This window comes from Homo sapiens, chromosome 7 (assembly GCF_000001405.40).
Source record: "Homo sapiens chromosome 7, GRCh38.p14 Primary Assembly".
In the NCBI taxonomy this organism is placed as follows: domain Eukaryota; kingdom Metazoa; phylum Chordata; class Mammalia; order Primates; family Hominidae; genus Homo; species Homo sapiens.
In genome coordinates this window covers 107,245,754-107,265,311 of record NC_000007.14, presented here as the reverse complement: position 1 = coordinate 107,265,311, position 19,558 = coordinate 107,245,754, and the positions used below count along the sequence as shown (strand labels likewise).

The 19,558-nt window shown below is 35.1% G+C and overlaps 1 protein-coding gene across 10 annotated transcripts in view, besides 1 other annotated feature; it reads left to right on the top strand.

The window, feature by feature from the left end:
- Positions 1-19,558, top strand: part of COG5 (component of oligomeric golgi complex 5) — a 362,549-nt gene that overhangs the window by 298,609 nt on the left and 44,382 nt on the right. For 7 of the 10 annotated variants that reach the window (NM_001379516.1, NM_001379515.1, NM_001379511.1 and 4 more), the window contains 3 exons: positions 6,929-7,039; positions 8,518-8,580; positions 16,813-16,916. In NM_001379516.1, the coding sequence (NP_001366445.1) occupies positions 6,929-7,039; positions 8,518-8,580; positions 16,813-16,916 (278 nt within the window). Of the gene's footprint in view, positions 1-2,550; positions 2,629-6,928; positions 7,040-8,517; positions 8,581-16,812; positions 16,917-19,558 lie in introns of those variants that run through there. The other 3 variants (NM_181733.4, XM_024446634.2, NM_001379512.1) reach the window with 3 other exon arrangements.
- Positions 6,882-7,082: a silencer, noted in NCBI's record as "peak6677 fragment used in MPRA reporter construct". NCBI's record gives its function as "represses an SCP1 promoter by STARR-seq MPRAs in K562 erythroleukemia cells {active_cell/tissue: K562}" and the evidence as "EXISTENCE:reporter gene assay evidence [ECO:0000049][PMID:32103011]".

The following is a 19,558-nucleotide window of genomic DNA, read 5'->3' as shown; positions in this document are numbered from 1 at the left end:
GGAGACCCTGCCTCAAAAAATAAAATAAAAATTAATTATTTTTGTCTGTGTCACAGATCGGTAGATTAAAAAGTACCTTGATGAGATTATCTTTTCCCAAATCCTTCCTTTGGTCAAGTAAACAATAACCAAAGCAGTTTATCTTGTCGTATTATCTTAAATCTTTCAGAGATAGAGATTGCATCCTTTTAATGTTTATAATTTATGAAATTATATTGTATAACAATTTCTAAGTATATTCTACAAGTAAACCTTTTAGATACTTTATGGAATTCCACAGTGCCTTTTACTAGTGTTTTACTAATCTTCCTCTTTATGTAATGCTTCATACTATTTCTTTACATTTTTGCTTTTTTTTTCCAGTCTTTTTGTGAAAGCAAACTGCTGCATAGACATATCTGCTTTCTTTTTTTACAGTTCACAGTGTCACTTTAGCTCCTTTCATTGTTTGTTCCATCATGTGAATTGCCTAATAGACCCAACCATTCCCTTATTCTTAGACATGTAGGGTTTTATGATTTCTCAGTTTTATAAATATAATCTTTGTGTATAAACTTTTCTCTATTATTTTCTTATGATCCATTTTCTGGGGTTCGTTTTTGGTTTTTGTTGTTGTTTTGAGACAGGATCTGGATCTGTCGCTCGGGCTGGAGTACAGTGGTGTGATCTTAACTCACTGCAATCTCCACCTCTTGGGCTCACACCATCCTCACACCTTAGCCTCGCAAGTAGCTGGGACCTACAGGCGCGTACCACCACACCTGGCTAATTTTTGTATTTTTTGTAGAGATGGGGTTTTGCCATGTTACCCAGGCTGGTCTCAAACTCCTGGGCTCAAGCGATCCTCCTGCCTCAGTCTCCAAAGGGCTAGGATTACAGGTATGAGCCACCGTGGCCTGCTCCATTGTCTGGAATTTTTTTACAATATATTTCTTACATACATAAGGGTATGGCAATTTTGAGGCTCTTGGAATATATTGCTCCTTAGTATCTCGTGACTAGAGGATCATTGAACTGTATATCTAAAAAACTGATGTGATGTAGATCGGGAATTGCTAATAGATTTTATGCCCTGGGTCAAGTCTTAGAGATTTGTAGTCACTGCCTGGAGTGCAATGTTGAGAGACCATAACAGGGCCACAATTGATTATTGATGTCTTCTATATGCATGGGAGTGGGCATAAATAGACCACTAGAAGTGTTTCCATAGTATCTGGAAAGTAACTTACTTACCCTTTTGTAATTTATAAGTAATCTATAATATATTATTTTGTTCTTTTTAGACATTTTTCGGAGCCATCAACTTTATAACTCCCCACAAATAATTCTTAGATTTTCTTAATAGAAACTTAAAGTTGTCATCCAACTCATCCCTTGAATTGTCAGTTTTATTTCTTTTACTTTTAGTCCTCAGGCATGATGATTAGGGAGATTTTGGTCATTTCATCTGCAGATTAACAGTTATATAAAAACATTCTTCATGTTATTATAGCTATGTAGTTTATTGTTTCAATTATCTAGTCTCATCAGTTGTTTCTCACACATTGAATTCACATGCTGTTCCTAATGAGCAGATGTACAGAATTAGAATTTCTGAAGAATATTTTGTTCAGATAATTAAATTTTAAAAAATAGTGTATCTTGTCATTTGCACATAAGAATTATTTTAATTTTTATTTAAGGATTTGTTTAGCATTTGGATTCCCTCTCATTCCTTGTGTGTGTCTGCACGTGTGTGTGTGTATTTGTGTGTGTGTTTTAAAAATAAACTCAAATGCAACTCTTCTTGTTTCTAACATCTTTCCAGATTGTACTGGAATAGTGTAACATGATTAACCAGTATGTACATTTCTCCTATTTTACAATGTTGAATCTCTTATTGCTCCCACTTTTCTAGTTCCCTCATTCTCAGTGCTTTACAGCCAAAGCTGTATTTTTGCACCTTGGTACAATTTTATTCATCTCAAATAAGATAGGCTTTGAAAAAACAACCATATGTAATAAGCATCTTCTACTTTGAGATGCCTTGCTGAACATGTAGATGAATTAGTGATGGCAATTTTAAGGAGCTTACAGGAAATGGCTTGAGATAGTAAAGGTTAAAGTGGCTGAAGATGGGTGGAGGATTATGAAGTAGTTGAGGTGCCTACTTTATACAAGATACTTTGTTACCACAACCCAAATGGAGCAAAACCTACTCTGTAACTCCAGGCAGCTTCACTAGCGTTTTGTTCTCATTCCTAAATGCTAATCTGTTCCTTTGGCCCCTAGCCAGTACTGAGATAGACTAGAGGTTGGGGGAAGGAACCAAGCAAAGGAAAAGTGAAAAGAAAATTTGAATAAGACATAGAATTGTCTGGAGATAGAAATATGTGGTATTACCATTTTTAAGGCATTTTACAGTTTACATAGCATACTTTGGTATAAACTGTATTATTAGTTCCGTGTTACAGATTAAGAAATTGAAGCTACAAGTCACTCAGCTAGCAAGCAGTAGGGACGGCAGACATTCTGGGAACAGGAGTTTTCTGATTGCTTCTATTTTTTCAGGGAAATATACAGCAAAGTCATCAACTGAGAATAAGGAGGAGGGAAGGAGGTGTCGGAGATTAGAGAAATGAGGAGAAGGTGAGGAACAATCTCCTAGGGGCTTAGGAGCATGAATGGGATATTTAACAGTATTGACAGGCAACGCCAAGAACCCACCTTGGTTTAGTGATCATAGATTTAAAGTCCAACCAGTGAGAAGCTCATTCAGCTTCTCACACTCAGGCATTGACTTGGTTTCACCCAGGACTAGAATTTTCCTAAGTGACCATGAATATATGTATTCTTAATACCCTGCCCCGCTTGCTCTCTGAAAACTAATGAACTCTCCAGGCCCCAGTTTAAAGCCAGTATCTCCACAGTTGCACTGGATCCCATTTCCTTTCAAGATACCACTCACTGCTGAAGATATCACTCACTGCTGAAATTGATTTTAATGAATCACGTAATCTAATCCAGAAAGGAAGGAAATAAAGAAGTGGGTATCAGGGACTCCTGTGAGATAGCATGAGAAGGTGGTACATTTGGGAGGTCTCAAGGGGTTACTGAATTATTGGAATTAGAATCAAAGGGACGGCCGGTGCGGTGGCTCATGCCTGTAATCCCAGCATGTTGGGAGTCTGAGGTAGGTGGATCACTTGAGGCCAGGAGTTCAAGACCAGCCTAGCTAACATGACAAAACCCCATCTCTACTAAAAATACAAAAATTAGCCACGCATGGTGACGCATGACTGTAATCCCAGCTACCCAGGAGGCTGAGGCACAAGAATCACTTGAACCCAGTAGGTGAAGGTTGCAGTGAGCCAAGAACATGCCACTGTCCTCCAGTTTGGGTGACAGAGAGCCTATCTTTAAAAAAAAAAAAAAAATCAAAGAGAAGCATAAATATATCTACCTACTGTGTACTTACAGAAATTAAAATTAAAAATAAGTAAAATCAAAGGGAAAGATTTGAAATGGCAGCCTGAGAGTAGCATACTTGAACTCAGATTTGAGAGAGAGTTCAGTCATTATAATGGCAAGATTATAGAGTGTGACCATGGAAGAAGATAAATGAGTTGGAGTAAACAGTAAGATTGTTGAAGGAGAAGAGGACAAGGAATCGAGAGCCCATTGTATTGGAAGGATCATCTATTTGAATATTGATTTAATCAAGAAGTATTGCAGGGTCAACAGCAATGAGCAAACCTAGTGCCCAGATCTTTGTCTCTAATTCCATTTTCCACTAAAAGGAACCAGAACTCTTTGGAGACATGGCTGATTCCAGATAAAAATATTTCATCGATGTAAATCTGTGAAGTTGATAACAACTGTGGTTTTGTAAGAAAATATTCTTATTAGGAAATACACACATTGAAATATTTAGGGGTAAAGGGCCATAATGTATGTATAATTCAGAAAACAAATTATGCACGTTCCTGTATCTGAGAGAGAGAGAGAGAGAGAGAGAATACAAATGATAAAGCAAACAGGATAAAATGTAACATCAGTAAATCCAGATAGAGAACATACAGTATTCCTTGTACTGTTTTTATTTTTGTAACTTTCTGTAAATTTGAGATTACAGTTGCATAGGTCCACTTATACACAGATATTTTTCAACCAAAGGCAGATCAAAAATACCCTATTCACAGGATATAAAACCTGCATATGTAGAGAGCCAACTTTTCCTGTACGCGGGTTCCTCAGGGCCCACCGTGGGACTTGAATATGCGTGGATTTAGGTGACGGGTGGGTGTTACGGTCCTGGAACCAATCCTCCTTGTATACTGAGGGGAGACTATATTTCCTAAAAAAAAAACAAAAACAAACAAACAAAAAAACTATGACAAGAGTGGTGTTGGAGAGAAACACAAGGTCATCCACTTAGCTAACTATTGGACTTGGACTGATTATATTCTGGGCGGTAAAATCAGGATAAGCAGCAGATTATTTACATCTCCAGTCTTTTGGAGACTTACATTTTTTCACTTTGATATTTTTATTTTGTTCTTTGTTTTTGGCATGATGACGTTTCATTTTTAGTTCTTTTATATCAATAATATTTTGTACCCAAAACTATAATTTTTTTTATGTAGCTTTGTAGGTCTTTTGAACTTAAGTCATCTTCTCTTAACCTTCATTTTCACAAGGTTCACAGAGCATCAGTCGATAACCTTGGAATCCTGGGATTTTTTCTATGCTTTCTTAAAAAACAGTTTTATTAAGATATAATTCACATGTCGTATAACTCACCCATTAAAGTGTACAAGTCAGTGGTTTTTAGTATATTCACAGTCAATTTTAAAACATTTCATCACCCTAATAAGCAACTTCATACCAGTTAGCACTCACTCCTCATATACCCCACTGCCCCACTGCAATTTCCAATCAACTTTTGCCCATGTAGATTTGCCTAATCTGGATATTTCATATAAATGTAACCATTTAATATGTGGCTTTTATGGTTGGTTTTTTCACATAGAATAATGTTTTCAGAATTCACCTATGTTGTAGTATGTATCAGAACTTTATTTCTTTGTGTTGCTAAGTAATGTTCCATTGCGTGGATATTCTACATTTTATTTGTCAGTTGGTTGACATTTGCATTGTGTCTATTTTCTTATTATTATGAATAAATGCTGCTATGAATATTTGTGTACAGATTTTTGTGTAAACATGTTTTTATTTCATATATATATATATATATCACTAGGAGTTGAACTGCTGTGTCACATGGTCACTCTGTATCTACCTTTGAGGAAAGACCAGATTGTTTCCAAGCAGCTCCTCCAATTTTACATTCCCACCAGCAATGTATGAGGGTTCAGTTTTTCTACATCCTAGCCAGCATTTGTTATTACCTGTCTTCCTCATTATAGCATCCTATTGGGTGTGACTTGGACCTGTCTATACTTTGAAACCCCCAAAATATGATCAGTCCTCAATAATAAAGGATCTCCACCCTTTTCTAGCAGCAAGCATATCTACTCATTAAATACTGAACACACAAAACAAATTGAAATAAAATAACATAAAAATTCTTCCCCTTTCCCATTTCTTTGTTCTTCAAAATTGATTGAAGAGAATCTCAAGAGAAGTAAGAGAGGTTGGATTTTTTAAATTGTACAGCTAGAGCTTGTAACTTTTAAATGCCCATTATAGTCAGATGTATGTTTAGCATTTGACCCCCCCTGCCCCGAGTCTGCCATACCCACCGATGCCACTCACCATGGCCACTTACACTTCCAGAGTGCCTTATTCAGGAGCCTCTCCACCTCCTCACCTTGGCACAGAGCCCATCATTTGCTTTCTCTTGGGAGGTCAGAGCTTCTGTTAGTATTAGTTCACCACATTATTGATTAAGTTGGATTTTGTGGGCTCTTCTAAGTGGTTAAGCATTATCTTTTTAAGGTAGTTCTACAGGAAAATAAATATATTTTCAGGCCACCACCTTAGAACACAGCTTGATTGCAATTGTGATTATCTTTGTCCATGAGGAAAGTCAAAATAAATTGGAGTTGTTTAACCTGGTTATACTTTCTATGTCCTGATCAAGTTTAATTTATCTTTAAATAATAATTGTTATAAAGGATTGGATTAAAATCTGATCAATATGAGAATGGTTGATATTTTTTTTTTCTTAAATTTGAACCATGACAGTTAAGAGATTAACTCAATAAAGCATTCCATGTCCGTTTCCCTAAAACTCATGAATTTAGAAGTAAATTAAAGGTCAAGTGTAGAAAGTTTTTAATACCACGTCTACTGATCATCTATACACAGTATAATTTTGGGCTTTTTTTTAATCTATAAAAAATCATAGTAATACCCTCTTTGCACAATTCATTTCATTAGTGTATTAGGATGCCTATCAAATATACATGGGATTTAGGTTTATTTTTATTTATTTCTCTGTCTAGCCATCCCCTTTCCCCCTCCTTCCCGTCTCTCTCTTCTCTCCTTTCCTCCTCCCTTTTTTTGCGGGCTTATTTCTGAGCATTTGAATAGAAAGAGCCCAACTGGCAGTTGCCGGAAGGTATTCCTTAGGATTACTATGTTATTATATCAAAATAATAGCACACATGGGGCATTTGGGTCACACCTGCCTCAAGAGTCCATCAGCTGTGAAGTATAAATGGAGCTGTTCTTCCCGTGCAAGACCAATTGTGCTTCCACATCCATGGTGTTTTCTCTACACAGATTGCTGGTTTTACCTCAAGTCCAAAGCTTTAAGTTGACCTGAATATTTCCAGTTAACATTCTCTTTGTCAGAGGGGCATGAACTTCTCCCCGGTTAAAGAATGTGTGTGTGTGTGTGTATGTGTGTGTGTGAGAGAGAGAGAGAGAGAGAGAGAGAATTATCATTCTGACACATTCTTTTGAAATTGAATTCTTACAGCTCTCCACACAAGGAGATGCAAGTCAGGTGATTGGGCCTCTTACTGAAGGACAGAGAAGAAATGTGGCAGTAGTGAATTCATTGTATAAGTTGCACCAATCAGTAACAAAGGTAACTATTTTATTAAGTTTTTTTTTACTTAATTTTAAATTCTTCTTGCCTCAAATTTGGACAGTTTACAAATTGTTATTTAGTACTTTGGAAAAGAATACAATGAAAATGTGATGATTATAAAATAAACTAAGGAGTTAACTCTTTTAAACAGTCTTTGACTCTGGCCTTCGTTGTTTGTATGACTTTTTGTTTGTACATTCAGTTTAAAACACATGAACTATAGCTCCTCAAGTTAATTAAGTTTATTGAGCAAATTATTGGAGGACAGATCATACATATTTCATACTTATTGAAACATGTAATTTGATACACTGTGGATGGTAGTAAATTATAGCAAAGCTAATGACAGAATAAGAATGCTGAAGCCCTCCAACATGTCAAAAATGTTCTATTAATATCTTTGCATTAAAAAGTCAGGGAGGAGCTGTATTCAAAACTGAATTTTTATGATATAATCACTGATGACTGCTTACACATAGATAACATGTATTCATTTTGCTATTTTTCTACTAGAAATTTGAAAGAAATGGCTGAACCTTGTTTGTCTTCATATATTATGTCTAAGGTGAACTGTATTGTTAATTACTAAAAAAGCAACACTTTCAAGTCCATCTGTGACTCTGGAGTAGCTTGTGCTTAATTATTCTCTATAGGTCATTTTTGAAATATTTTATAAATGGGAAGATAATAATTTAGGAGACCTGAAGAAAGCTAATGGTTAAATGATGTTCTTGAAAACTTGACTTATAGTATAAGCTTTAATATACTAGATTGTGTTTTAGAATAATTCTAAGTGACTATTACTCACTTATTTAAAGATTTTAACAAGTCCTTTTATCAATTAGCGGTTTCTAAAAATGTGTATTTTACACATTAAACAAAATACATGTTAAAGAGTTATTAACAGGTAAATCTCAGAAGGGTAAAAATTATTAAAAAACACTAAATGATGTATTTTCCATTTTCTTTAATCATTACTCCAAAGCACCACAAGCAAGGAAAGATTGTGTTCTATCTAGCCTGCTTTAAATGTCTTTATTGATATTTTCAAAATTTTCATGATGTTTGTATTGATTTGTAAAAATTGAAATGCTGACATTTTTATTTTAAAGACTTGTTGGAAATCAGAGTCAGCCTAAAGACATGAGTGAAAGAAATGAGTAAATATGGCTTTATTCTGACCTTTTCAAGTTAAAACTTTATAATTAAAACCTATGTAACATGAATAAAGGAAACCTAGCTCTTAGTATTTATTAATGTTATTTGAAGTATGTGTTTGCTTTATACACAAAATTATTTTTCAACCTATCTTAATAAATACTGATTTTTAAAATCATGTATAAGATATTACTGTAAAGCAATGATAATATTGTATATATACTTTGTGGAAACAGCTTTATTATGCTATGATCAAAATTAGTATTTACAGAAATAGACTTAAGCGAAACTATAACTGGATCAAAACCTTGTTCTAGGTTGTTTCCAGTCAGAGCTCATTCCCACTGGCAGCTGAGCAAACTATAATTTCAGCTCTAAAGGTAAAAGAATTTAATCTTTGACTCTATAGATCAAAGTGGTTTTAGGATTATTTGTTTTGCTGAGTGGGCAATGTCACATTTTATAATAATTCAGAATCCTCTATATATACAAAAGTAGCATGTTGATAATTATCCTAAAGAGAATAGATAACAAGTGTGTTTATGTTTTCTAGAATTTAAAAATAGACCCTTTTGGTGTCTACAGATTGTGTTCTACTTATGACAGTTGTGTACATAGAAGCAAAAGTCTTACATGTATTTATCTAATGGCAGTACAACCCAGTATTATTCCAGTAGAGCAGTGGTTCTCCAGCAGAATCATTTTGTCCCCAGGTGACATTTGACAGCATCTGGAGACATTCTGGATTGTCATGACATGGTAGAGATGCTACTGGCATCTAGTGAGTAGAGGCCAAGGATTTTGCTGAACATCTTGCAATGCATAGGACAATGCCCACCCCTCTCTCATAACAGAATTTCCCAGTCCAAAATGTCAGTAATGCCAAGGTTGAGAAACCCTACTTTAAACTGAGGCATAAAACCAGAATATATTCTCATTTTTTCTATACAAACATAACTATACCCCCTTTCTATTATTTAGGAAATTGCATAAACAATAATGGTATGAGATTCAGAGCCATATGTAGTTGACAGTATCTCTTTTAAAAACAAGCATATTATCAAGAGTACTAGAGAGGCACATTTTGAAATATTACTACAACCCTTCAAGTTACGTATTTGTGTTCCCACTTTATATATCTTAGAAATAATATCTTGCTCAAGGTCATATCGCTGGTAAATGCAGACCTCATTAACTCTGAAGAGTTATGTCTACTACACCTTGCCACCATCTTTCCTTTATTTGCTAAATATTTATTTAGTACTTGGCGAGTAAGTAACTAAGGCCATAAAGCGTAGACTTTGGAGCCAAACTACCTGTATATGAATCCTATCTCAGCTATTTAACCAGCTATATGACCTCAAACAAGTAAATAAGCTCTCTCTTGCCTTAGTTTCTGCATCTATAAAATGGTACAATAAGCCTACACAAGAGTAATAAATTTTAACTATTAGATTGGATTTACATCTCTAAGGGAGAGTTTTAAAATTGAGATGAAAGTCTACAAGTAAATCCTATGGAGAAACACATATTTAGAGAAAAGAGCAAACAAGGAAAGAACAATCAGAAGAAGGAAGAAAATTAGGAGAATACTGTGTCACAAATCCTAAAGGGGAAGGGAGCTTCTAAAGTCAAATGCTTTAGAATTTACAGGGAATGAGGATTTAACAGGCACCAAAATGTAAGGACACTAAATTCATATATGAATGGATTTGATTCATTGAGGGTAAGAGAAGGAGACAGTCTATTTTCCCCCAGTGTATTAGAAGTATACTTGTATGTTTTCTCTATATCCCTTTTTCCCCTAATGTGCTTTAAAATATTTTTCCATAATAAAATAATTGTTTTTAGTAAGGTTGGCATATGTATCAATGATCATAAAATCAGGTCAATATGACAAATCTTAAAGTCTTAACATTCTTGGTTCCAGACCGGGAATGGATACTCTTCTATAATTCCACATTTTTTTCTTCTAGCAGTAACTATCAAACATTTTTTTGATAACTACCCAAAATCAGTACATTTTACTTTGTGCCCTCATACGTAATAAGCATTTATAAATATATACCTACATATGTAATTGCATAAAGTGTACTTCTATACACATAATTGATACAGAAGTTTCACAAAGTAATACTTATCCTTATTTTGTGTACGCATTCTAATATTTTCTATGCTAGTCTATTACTTTTTAAAACATTACGATACTGACCCACTGAAATGATTTTTTTGACCTCTAATGGTCAGACACAACCCACAGTTTCAGAAGGTCCATTCTCTGGATTAAGACAGAGTGCCTTCACTTTGATGATAAAAATCACTTGGAGAGTTAAAAATAGAAATTACTCATAGACTGTATTTCAGTATAGGGTAGTTTCTCTGAATCTTTATTTTTGACAGACAACAAAGATTATTCTTTTAATATATTAGCTGGAGTCAGTGCAGGGAAAATTGCCCTAATCTTGGGCTGCAGCCGTGACTCTGAGGTTTGCTTACCAGGACCAGTGCTGTGTGTAGCTGGGTCTGTACTTTGCTAAGGCATACCAATTTTGCCTTTTCGAACTCGATAACAGAAGACTAGCAGTAAGTACAAGGCCCTCCTGCAGTGGCCTCATCAGTTAGAGACTTCATTGCTCATGTTAATACACTCAGTGAAAGTTTTAACTTTGCTATTTAAGTCTTATAAAAAACTGTTATGACTTATTAAGTAAAAAGTAAAAAAAAAACCTGACTTAGAATAAAAAGGAATGTTGAATTTCATAAAATTGTTGGAAATTTAATAAGTCACTTTGAATTCAAGGTAGAGAGTTACGATGTATAAATGCCTGCAGCCCAACCCAGAAATCTGCTTGATTTTATTTCATAGAGAAGATATTAAACATACTTTTTAACTTACTGAAAAATATAGATATAGACATATAACAGTCCTTTCTTCTCTACCTTGAGATTTTATCCAAAATTAAATGTTATTTTAGGCTTGAGGTTCATCATTACGTATTCTTTTTTTTCATTTATTCAAAAATATTTATTGTCTGTCACATGCCAGGTATTAGTGATACACAGTGAAAGTCACAAATAAAGTCCTTTCCCATGTAGAGCTTTTATTGTAGTGAGGAGCCCAGTGGTGATAAGCGCTATGATGAAAAATAGAGCACAGTAAAGGATAGAGAATGGGGATGGAAGGAAAGTGCTATTTTATATAGGCCTCTCCAATCAAGAGACATTTTGGCAAAAATCTGAAGGAAGTGAAGGAGTGAGCCAAGCAGCCATCTGGGGCAAGTGTTCCAGGAATAGAGACCTGAATTGGACAGGCTTGTAATAGTCACAGAACAGCCAGGAGGCCCGAGTGGCTGGAGCAGAGTGAGTGAGAGTAAAGGAGCAGGAGTGAAGTTGGAGAGCGAGCAGAGCAGGGGTTGGGTGGAGAGCAGATGCAGAGTCTCCATCATCACATATTCTAAACATTGTCTAATATGTTATGAATGACATAATTAATATTGAGTATACATTTAGAGTTATTTCATTATAACCACCATAGCTATATAAGTACCATTTAAACCCCTTGGTCCAGTAATTCTGATCCATTTTTTACTGAGATTTGTCTTGTGCAGATAGTGATTACATTGCCAAATTTATATATGGCAATGCTTCTTTCTCCCTTTTTGTGTGGGTTTGATGTTCTATATAAAGGAATATTCCAGATTGCTGAGGCTCCAATATTTTTGTAATTTTAACTATTTTAGGTAAATCTTTTTAAAATGTATAACATATTTCCCTGCTTTGTAAAGAGCATAGGAAATATAATCTAATCTCCTTTCTCAGTTTCCTTGTTAGTTGTTAGTTTCTACCCATCCTTGAAATGAAGGCATTCCCCAAGATGCTCTCTTCTCTTCCTATTTCATATTTTTCCTAAGTGGGAAACCTCACCCAGCAATAAAGTTTTCTATGTAAACCACCATATCTTATGCAAATAGGGATTTTTATTTCTTACTTTCTGATCTTTATGCCTGTTTTTCCATGCCTTGTTTCACTGTCCAGGATCTGCAGTACAGTGTTGAATAGAACTGGTAAGAATGGACCTCATTTACTTGTTTCTGACCTGGGGGTAAAGCATTCAGTATTTTACTATTGTAAGTATAGTATTAGCTATAGGTTAATGATATAATAATGTTAGCTGTAGGTTTTTGATAGAAGGCCTTTGTCAGACTAAACAAGTTCCCTTCTATTCTTAGTTTTCTATTTTTTATTATTAATGGTGTTAAGTTTCATTAAATAGCTTTTTCTGCATCTATTGAAATAATCATATGGCTCTACTCTTTTATTCTGCTAATGAAGTATATTATAGTAATTTATTTTCAAATATCAAACCAACCTTAGTCATGATGTATTACCCTTTTTATGTATTCCTGGATACTTAATGTATCCTTTTATGTATTCCTGGATACTGATTTACTTAATTTTTGTTAAGGATGCTTACTTACATCTATATTCATAAGGTATATTGTCATAAAATTTTCTATGTCTTTATTTGGTTTTGGTAGCAAGTTAATACTGGCTTCACTAAATGAGTTTGAAAGTGTTTCCTCCTCTTCTGTTTCCTAGAAGAGTTTGTGTAGAATTTGTTTTTGTTTTTGTTTTTCTTCCTCAAGTGTTTAGTAGAATTCACCAGTGAAGCTATCTGGGTCTGTAGTTTTCTCTGTGGAAAGGCTTATAACTACACATTAATTCATTTAATAGAGAAAGGGCTATTTGTGTTATCTATTCTTCTTGAATGAGCTTTGATACTTTGTGATGTTGAAGGTATTTGTCTACTCATCTTAGTTATCTAATTTGTCAGAATAATCTGTGTAATACTTACTATCCTTTTGTGGTTGGTTTGTTTAAAGACAGGGTTCCACTGTGCTGCCCAGGCTGGAGTGCAGTGGCTATTCACTGGCACGATTATGGCGTGCTACAGCCTTGAACTTCTGGGCTCAAGGGATCCTTCTGCTTGAGCCTTTGAAGTGGCTGGGACTACAGGGATAAACCACTGTGCTGAGCTCACTTAACTATCTTTTTGATGTCTTTAGGACCTATAAGAATAACCTCTTTTTCATTTTTGATATTGTTGATTTGTGTTCTCTTCCTGTTTTTTTCTCGATCAATCTAGCTAGGAGTTTAGCAACTGTGTTAATTTTTTCAGTGAAACAGCTTTTAACTTTACTAGTTTTCTCTGTTTTCTGTTTCAATGATTTCTGCTTTTATCTTTCTTTATTTTCTACTTTTTGCTAGTTTCAATACTTTCTGTTTATCTTTGGATTTGTGAGTTTTCTTTGCTATTTTTTAAGATTTACTTGAGACTTTACATCATTGATTTTAGACCATTTTCCCCACAAATAAACATTTAACGTTGTAAATTTTCCACTAAGCACTGCAATTTTTCTGTGTTATACTTGTATCTTCATTCAGTTTGAAATATTTTTCTAATTTCCTTTGTGATTTCTTATCTGAGTCATGGATTATTTAGAAATGTGTTCTTAAAATTTCTAATTACTTTTGGGTTCTGCATATATCTTGTTACTGATTTCTAATTTAATTCTGATAACAGAATTAAATGTTGATGGTTTTACCTTTTTTTAAGTAAAAGCAAGTTTATTAAGAAAAGAAACAAAAGAATGGATACTTCATAGGCAGAGCAGCCAAATGATGATTTTTAATGATTATTTTAAATCATCATTTAAAATCTGATGAGCTTAAATTAAAGTTTATCATGTGAGTGTGATGGCAAAGAACACTCCTAATTTTCTTTTGCCAGAAATGTATTTCACTTTCATCTTTGAAGGATGTTTATACAGAAAATAGAAATATGGGTTTGAAAGATGTTTTTCTCTTAGCACTTAAAATATGTTCCACTGTTTTCTGGCCTCCATGCTTTCTGATAAGAAGACATTACTTATTAAAATTAGTTCCCTTGTATGTAATCTTTTTTTTTTTTTTTTTTTGGCTAGTTTCAAGATTTTCTGTTTATCTTTGGTTTTCAACAGTTTATGATGTGCCTAGGCATAGTTCTCATCAAAATTATCCTGTTTGGGATCTGCTGATTTTCCTGAATCTGTAAATTCATGCTTTTCATTATTTTGATTAGCGTGAGGCCTTTTTCCCTGCCGAGTAGTTTTGCTGCCTCATTCTCTCTCTGCCCCATTATTTTCTTTTCTTACAGGACTCCAGTTACCAGTATATTAGACATTTTGCAGTTTTTTCTTAGGTTTAATTATTTTTTAGTATTTTTTCTCTTCTCCAGAGAGATTTCTGTTAATTCTGTCTTCAGGTTCATTGACTCTTTCCTTGGTCATCTCTACGTATAATTCTTCTACGAAGCCTATCCCGTCAATTTTACAATTTCAGCTACTATAATTTTTAAGTTTAAATATAACTTTTTTTTTACATTTTCATTCACTCTACTGAGATTTCCTATTATTTTATTTATTGTGTGCATATTTTTCCTTGCCTCATTGAGGTTCTTGCCTGATAATTCTAGAGTCTGGTTCATCTCAGGGTTAAGCATCTCTTGATTGTCTTTTCCCCTGAGAATTGATAAAATTTCCTAGCATTTTATATGTGTAGTAATTTTGAATAAATCCTGAACACTGTGAATGTTATGTTGTGTAGAAACAGGATTTTTTTTTTTTTACCTTTTTTTATAAGCATGTTGGTGATTTTGCTTTACAGGCAATTAGCTTGGTTATACTCAAACTGTGTACTGTCATACCTTCAGTTGGCCACACCTCAGTCAGTTCACTTCTTTAAGCCTCAGTTGCAAGCCGCATTTAGTTTGCTCTGCACATGCATTACTGATAGTTAGCTGAAGACTCGTGCCGAGTTTAAACATAAAATTAGGCGGTCTTCTCTGGCTCTCTCCTTTTCAAGCTCCCTCTCTCACTCTCCAGCAGCTCTGTACCACTGCCGTGGCCTTATAGTTGTACTCCTTTTTGTAGTCTAATTTGTCCAGTTTACTCTCCAACATGGTTTTTCCTAAATCCAAATCATTAACCACATTTTGTCTATTGCTTAAAACCCATCATTGGTTTCCTGGTACCTTTAGGATAAATTCCTAACTTCTTAGTAACCTATACAAAGTACACCTCTTGCTGCCTCTGTCTCTTCCAGGCACTTATACTCCATATATACTGAATGTCTTGTGGTTTCCCAAGTGCCTCAGCTTTCCCAAACTCCTATGCTTGGGAATCCGAAACTTTTTTAGTGTCAACATGACGCTCAAAGGAAGGTGCTCACTGGACACTTTCAGATTTTGGATTTTGGGTTACTCAACATGCATAACGTTTTAACTATTCTCACTAGACTCTGAGCTCCTGTATGGAGGGCAAACTATATGTATACACACACACACACACACACACACACACACACACACACACACACACACAATCCTGTACGTTGTATATTTATTTTTACCAGAGATTAAGGGTTATAGATTAGGAATTTAATGATTAAGGGTCCTATATTTTACCTTTGCTCATTGATTTTGATCATTTGTATGAGCCAAAACTATCTATCTTCATTATATTATCTTTGAAGTGTGTATAATATATTTACATTTTTGATTTTACGTGTTTTGAGCCTCAGTCATTATTTTCACACTAAAAGCCCATAACTAAGACCTAGGGTTTTACATCAAGTAAATGATGATTTATACCTCCCTGTTGAACAGTTTCCCAACCATGGCACTATCAACATTTTGAGCTGGGTAATTCTTTGTTATAGGGGCTGTTCTGTATTCCGTAAGATGTTTAGCAGCATCTTTGTCCTCTACCTACTAGATGCTAGTAACACACTTGTACCCCCATCCCCAACTGTGACAATGAAAAATGTCTTTAAGCAATACCAAATGTTTCCTGGGGAACAAAACTGCCCACAGTTGAGAATCACTGCTGTAGAACTCTCAACTGAAACCTAATTCATGAAATGCGCAACTGTTGTGCCCTATTAGAAACATTGTTCTGGAGCCTACTTGCGGGTAGAAGGTGGGAGCAGGGGAAAGAGCAGAAAAAAATAACTATTGGGTACTAGGCTTAGTGCCTGGGTGATGAAATAATCTATACTACAAATCCCCATGACACAACAAACTCCTATATAATAAATCTGCACATGTACCCTTGAACCTAATAGTTAAAAAAAAAGAATCAATGTCTGTTTATTATATTCACTCTGGTTAAAAGCATATGATGTTGTTCCAATTCTTAAATAATTACTTTTGGTCCTGCCTAACTCTTTTGTGAAACTTAAATGTGTTCATTTGACCTTTACCTCATTAGTGGAACTACTGTCTTCTTGCGTATGCCTTCCCTTTTTCATGGGCTTATTTAACCACTGAACCTTTTGGAAAAAATAAGAAGAGTGGGGGTGTTGAAATTTGTTAGTGCCATGTTCCACATATTTTAAGCTTTAAAAATCATTACCGACAGTGGTTAGGGAGAGGAGCAGACTTCTGTTAACTTAGTCTGCATTTGATATAATATGAAAACTGTTAGTCACGGTGTTTCTCACATCTCAAATTTCTTTGGGTTGTTTTTCTTTAATCTTGCCTCTTCTTTTTTTTCTTTCTTTTTTTTTTTTAGGCTATTCATGCTCTTATGGAAAATGCTGTGCAACCCTTACTCACTTCTGTGGGAGATGCTATAGAGGCCATAATCATCACCATGCATCAAGAAGACTTTTCTGGGTAATTACTTCTAACCAAATTTTTACTAACTTTTACTGCCTTTATTTTGTATTCCCACCTCTATGCTTACTCCCTAAGCTGCCCCCCTGCCATCCAGGGCCTTGTTCCTTTTGTGATGGCATTAGTTTTCAGCCCTCTTCATTACCCATTGTGAGCGCCATTCACAGATTAAAATTTTTCAGTTCTCGTTTTCATCACTTCTCTTTTTAAAAACTTTTTCTTTATGAACAGTATCACGTTACATGTGCATACATTTCTCTCTTATTGAAACATAAAATGAGTCTGTGGGACTTAGCCTGGTACTTCAGGACTTTTGGTAGTTTGTACCATCTCCCCTTCCCAAGCTTGTCTTTTTCCTTACTTCTCACAAATACCCTCTACTTCAGCCCCTTTGTTACCCCTTGGCATAGGCATGGTATTCCTTGTGTAAAATGCCCTGCCTCTGCCACTGTGCTAGTCCAAATCCTGCTTTGGCTCTGGGCAAGCTGCAGCCCAACCTCCTCCAAGATTGATTTTTCTTCCTCGGAGGTTATGTGACAATCTAATCTGATCACATCACACCTAGCCACAAACACTATGGTGTTATTCCAAACCTGTTTCATATGTGTCTTGCTCATCCATGTCATAGGTATCCTGAGAATAATAATCATAGTTCCTAATCCAATATTTACAGAAATCTTTTAAAATAGAGTAAAATGGTTTTGGTTCAGTGTATTAGAAAACTTTGGAGCATTTGGAATAGTTATTTGCAAATGCTTGCTGTGATTTTTAAAAAACTTAACCACATTAAAGCTAAATACTCAAATATTAATATGTAGATATGTATTTTATATTCCCAAGTTCATAGTTATTATTTTTGAGCAGTCCTGTTTCTCTTTACATTCTTGTTGTTTTAAAGAATATCTGTTTTATGAAATTTCCATCTATGAATTTAGCTATTTATAGAAAAATATTATTTCACTGTCCTCTACTTTTTCAACTTATTATTTCATTTACAAAGTTTTTTAATTTTTTTGTAACTTTTATATTAGGTTTGGGGGCACATGTGAAGGGTTGTTACATAGGTAAACACGTGTCATGGAGATTTGTTGTACATATTATTTCATCACCCAGGTATTAGGCCCAGTACCCTGTAGTTATCATTTCTGCTCCTCTCCCTCCTCCCACCCTCCCCTGTCAAGTCGACCCCAGTGTCTGTTGTTTCCTTCTTTGTGTTCGTAAGTTCTCATTATTTAGATCCCACTTATAAGTGAGAACACATAGTATTTGGTTTTCTGTTCCTGCAATAGGTTGCTGAGGATAATAGCATCCAGCTCCATCCATGTTCCCACAAAAGACATGATCTTGTTATTTTTATGGCTGCATAGTATTCCATGGTGTATATGTACCACAATTTCTTTATCCACTATGTCATTGATGGGCATTTAGGTTGATTGCATGTCTTTGCTATTGTGAATAGTGCTGCGATGAACATGCACATGCATATGTTTTTATGGTAGAATGATTTATATTCCTCTGGATATATAGCCAGTAATGGGATTGCTGGGTCAAATGGTAGTTCTGCTTTTAGCCCTTTGAGGAATCACCATACTGCCTTCCACAATGGTTGAACTAATTTACACTCCCACCACAGCGTATAAGTGTTCCCTTTTCTCTGCAACCTCACCAGCATCTTATTTTTTTGTCTTTTTAATGATAGCCATTCTGACTGGTGTGAGATGGTATCTCATTGCGGTTTTGATTTGCATTTCTCTAATGATCAGTGGTGTTGAGCATTTTTTCATGTGATTGCTGGCTGCATGTATGTCTTCGTCTTCTTTTGAGAAGTGTCTGTTCATGTCTTTTGCCCACCTTTTAATGGGGTTGTTTGTTTTTCCCTTGTGAATTTGTTTAAGTTCCTTATGGATTCTGGATCTTAGACCTTTGTCAGATGCATAGTTTGCAAATATTTTCTCCCTTTTTGTAGATTGTCTGTTTACTCTGTTGATAATTTCTTTTGCTGTGCAGAAGCTCTTAGGTTTAATTAGATCCCGCTTGGCAATTTTGCCTTTTATTGTGATTGCTTCTGATGTCTTTGTCATGAAATCTTTGCCTATTCCTTTGTTCAGGATAGTATTGCCTAGGTTGTCTTCCAGGGTTTTATAGTTTTGGGTTTTGCATGTAAGTATTTAATCCATCTTGAGTTGATTTTTGTGTATGGTGTAAGGAAGGGGTCCAGTTTCAATCTTCTGTGTATGACTAGCCAGTTAGCCCAGCACCATTTCTTGAATAGGAAATCTTTTCCCCACTGCTTGCTTTTGTCAGCATTGTTGAAGATCAGATGGTCACAGATGTGCGACCTTATTTCTGGGCTTTCTATTCTGTTCCATTGGTCTATGTGCCTGTTTTTGTACCAGTACCATTCTGTTTTGGTTATGGTAGCCTTGTAGTTTAGTTTGAAGTCAGGTAACGTGATGTCTCCAGCTTTGTTCTTTTAGCTTAGGATTGCCTTGGCTATTCAGGCTCTTTTTTGGTCCCATCTGAATTTTAAAATAGTTTGTTTTTCGTTCTGTGAAGAATATCATTGGTAGTTTGATAGGAATAGCATTGAATCTGAAGATTGCTTTGGGCAGTATAGCCATTGTAATCATACTGATTCTTCC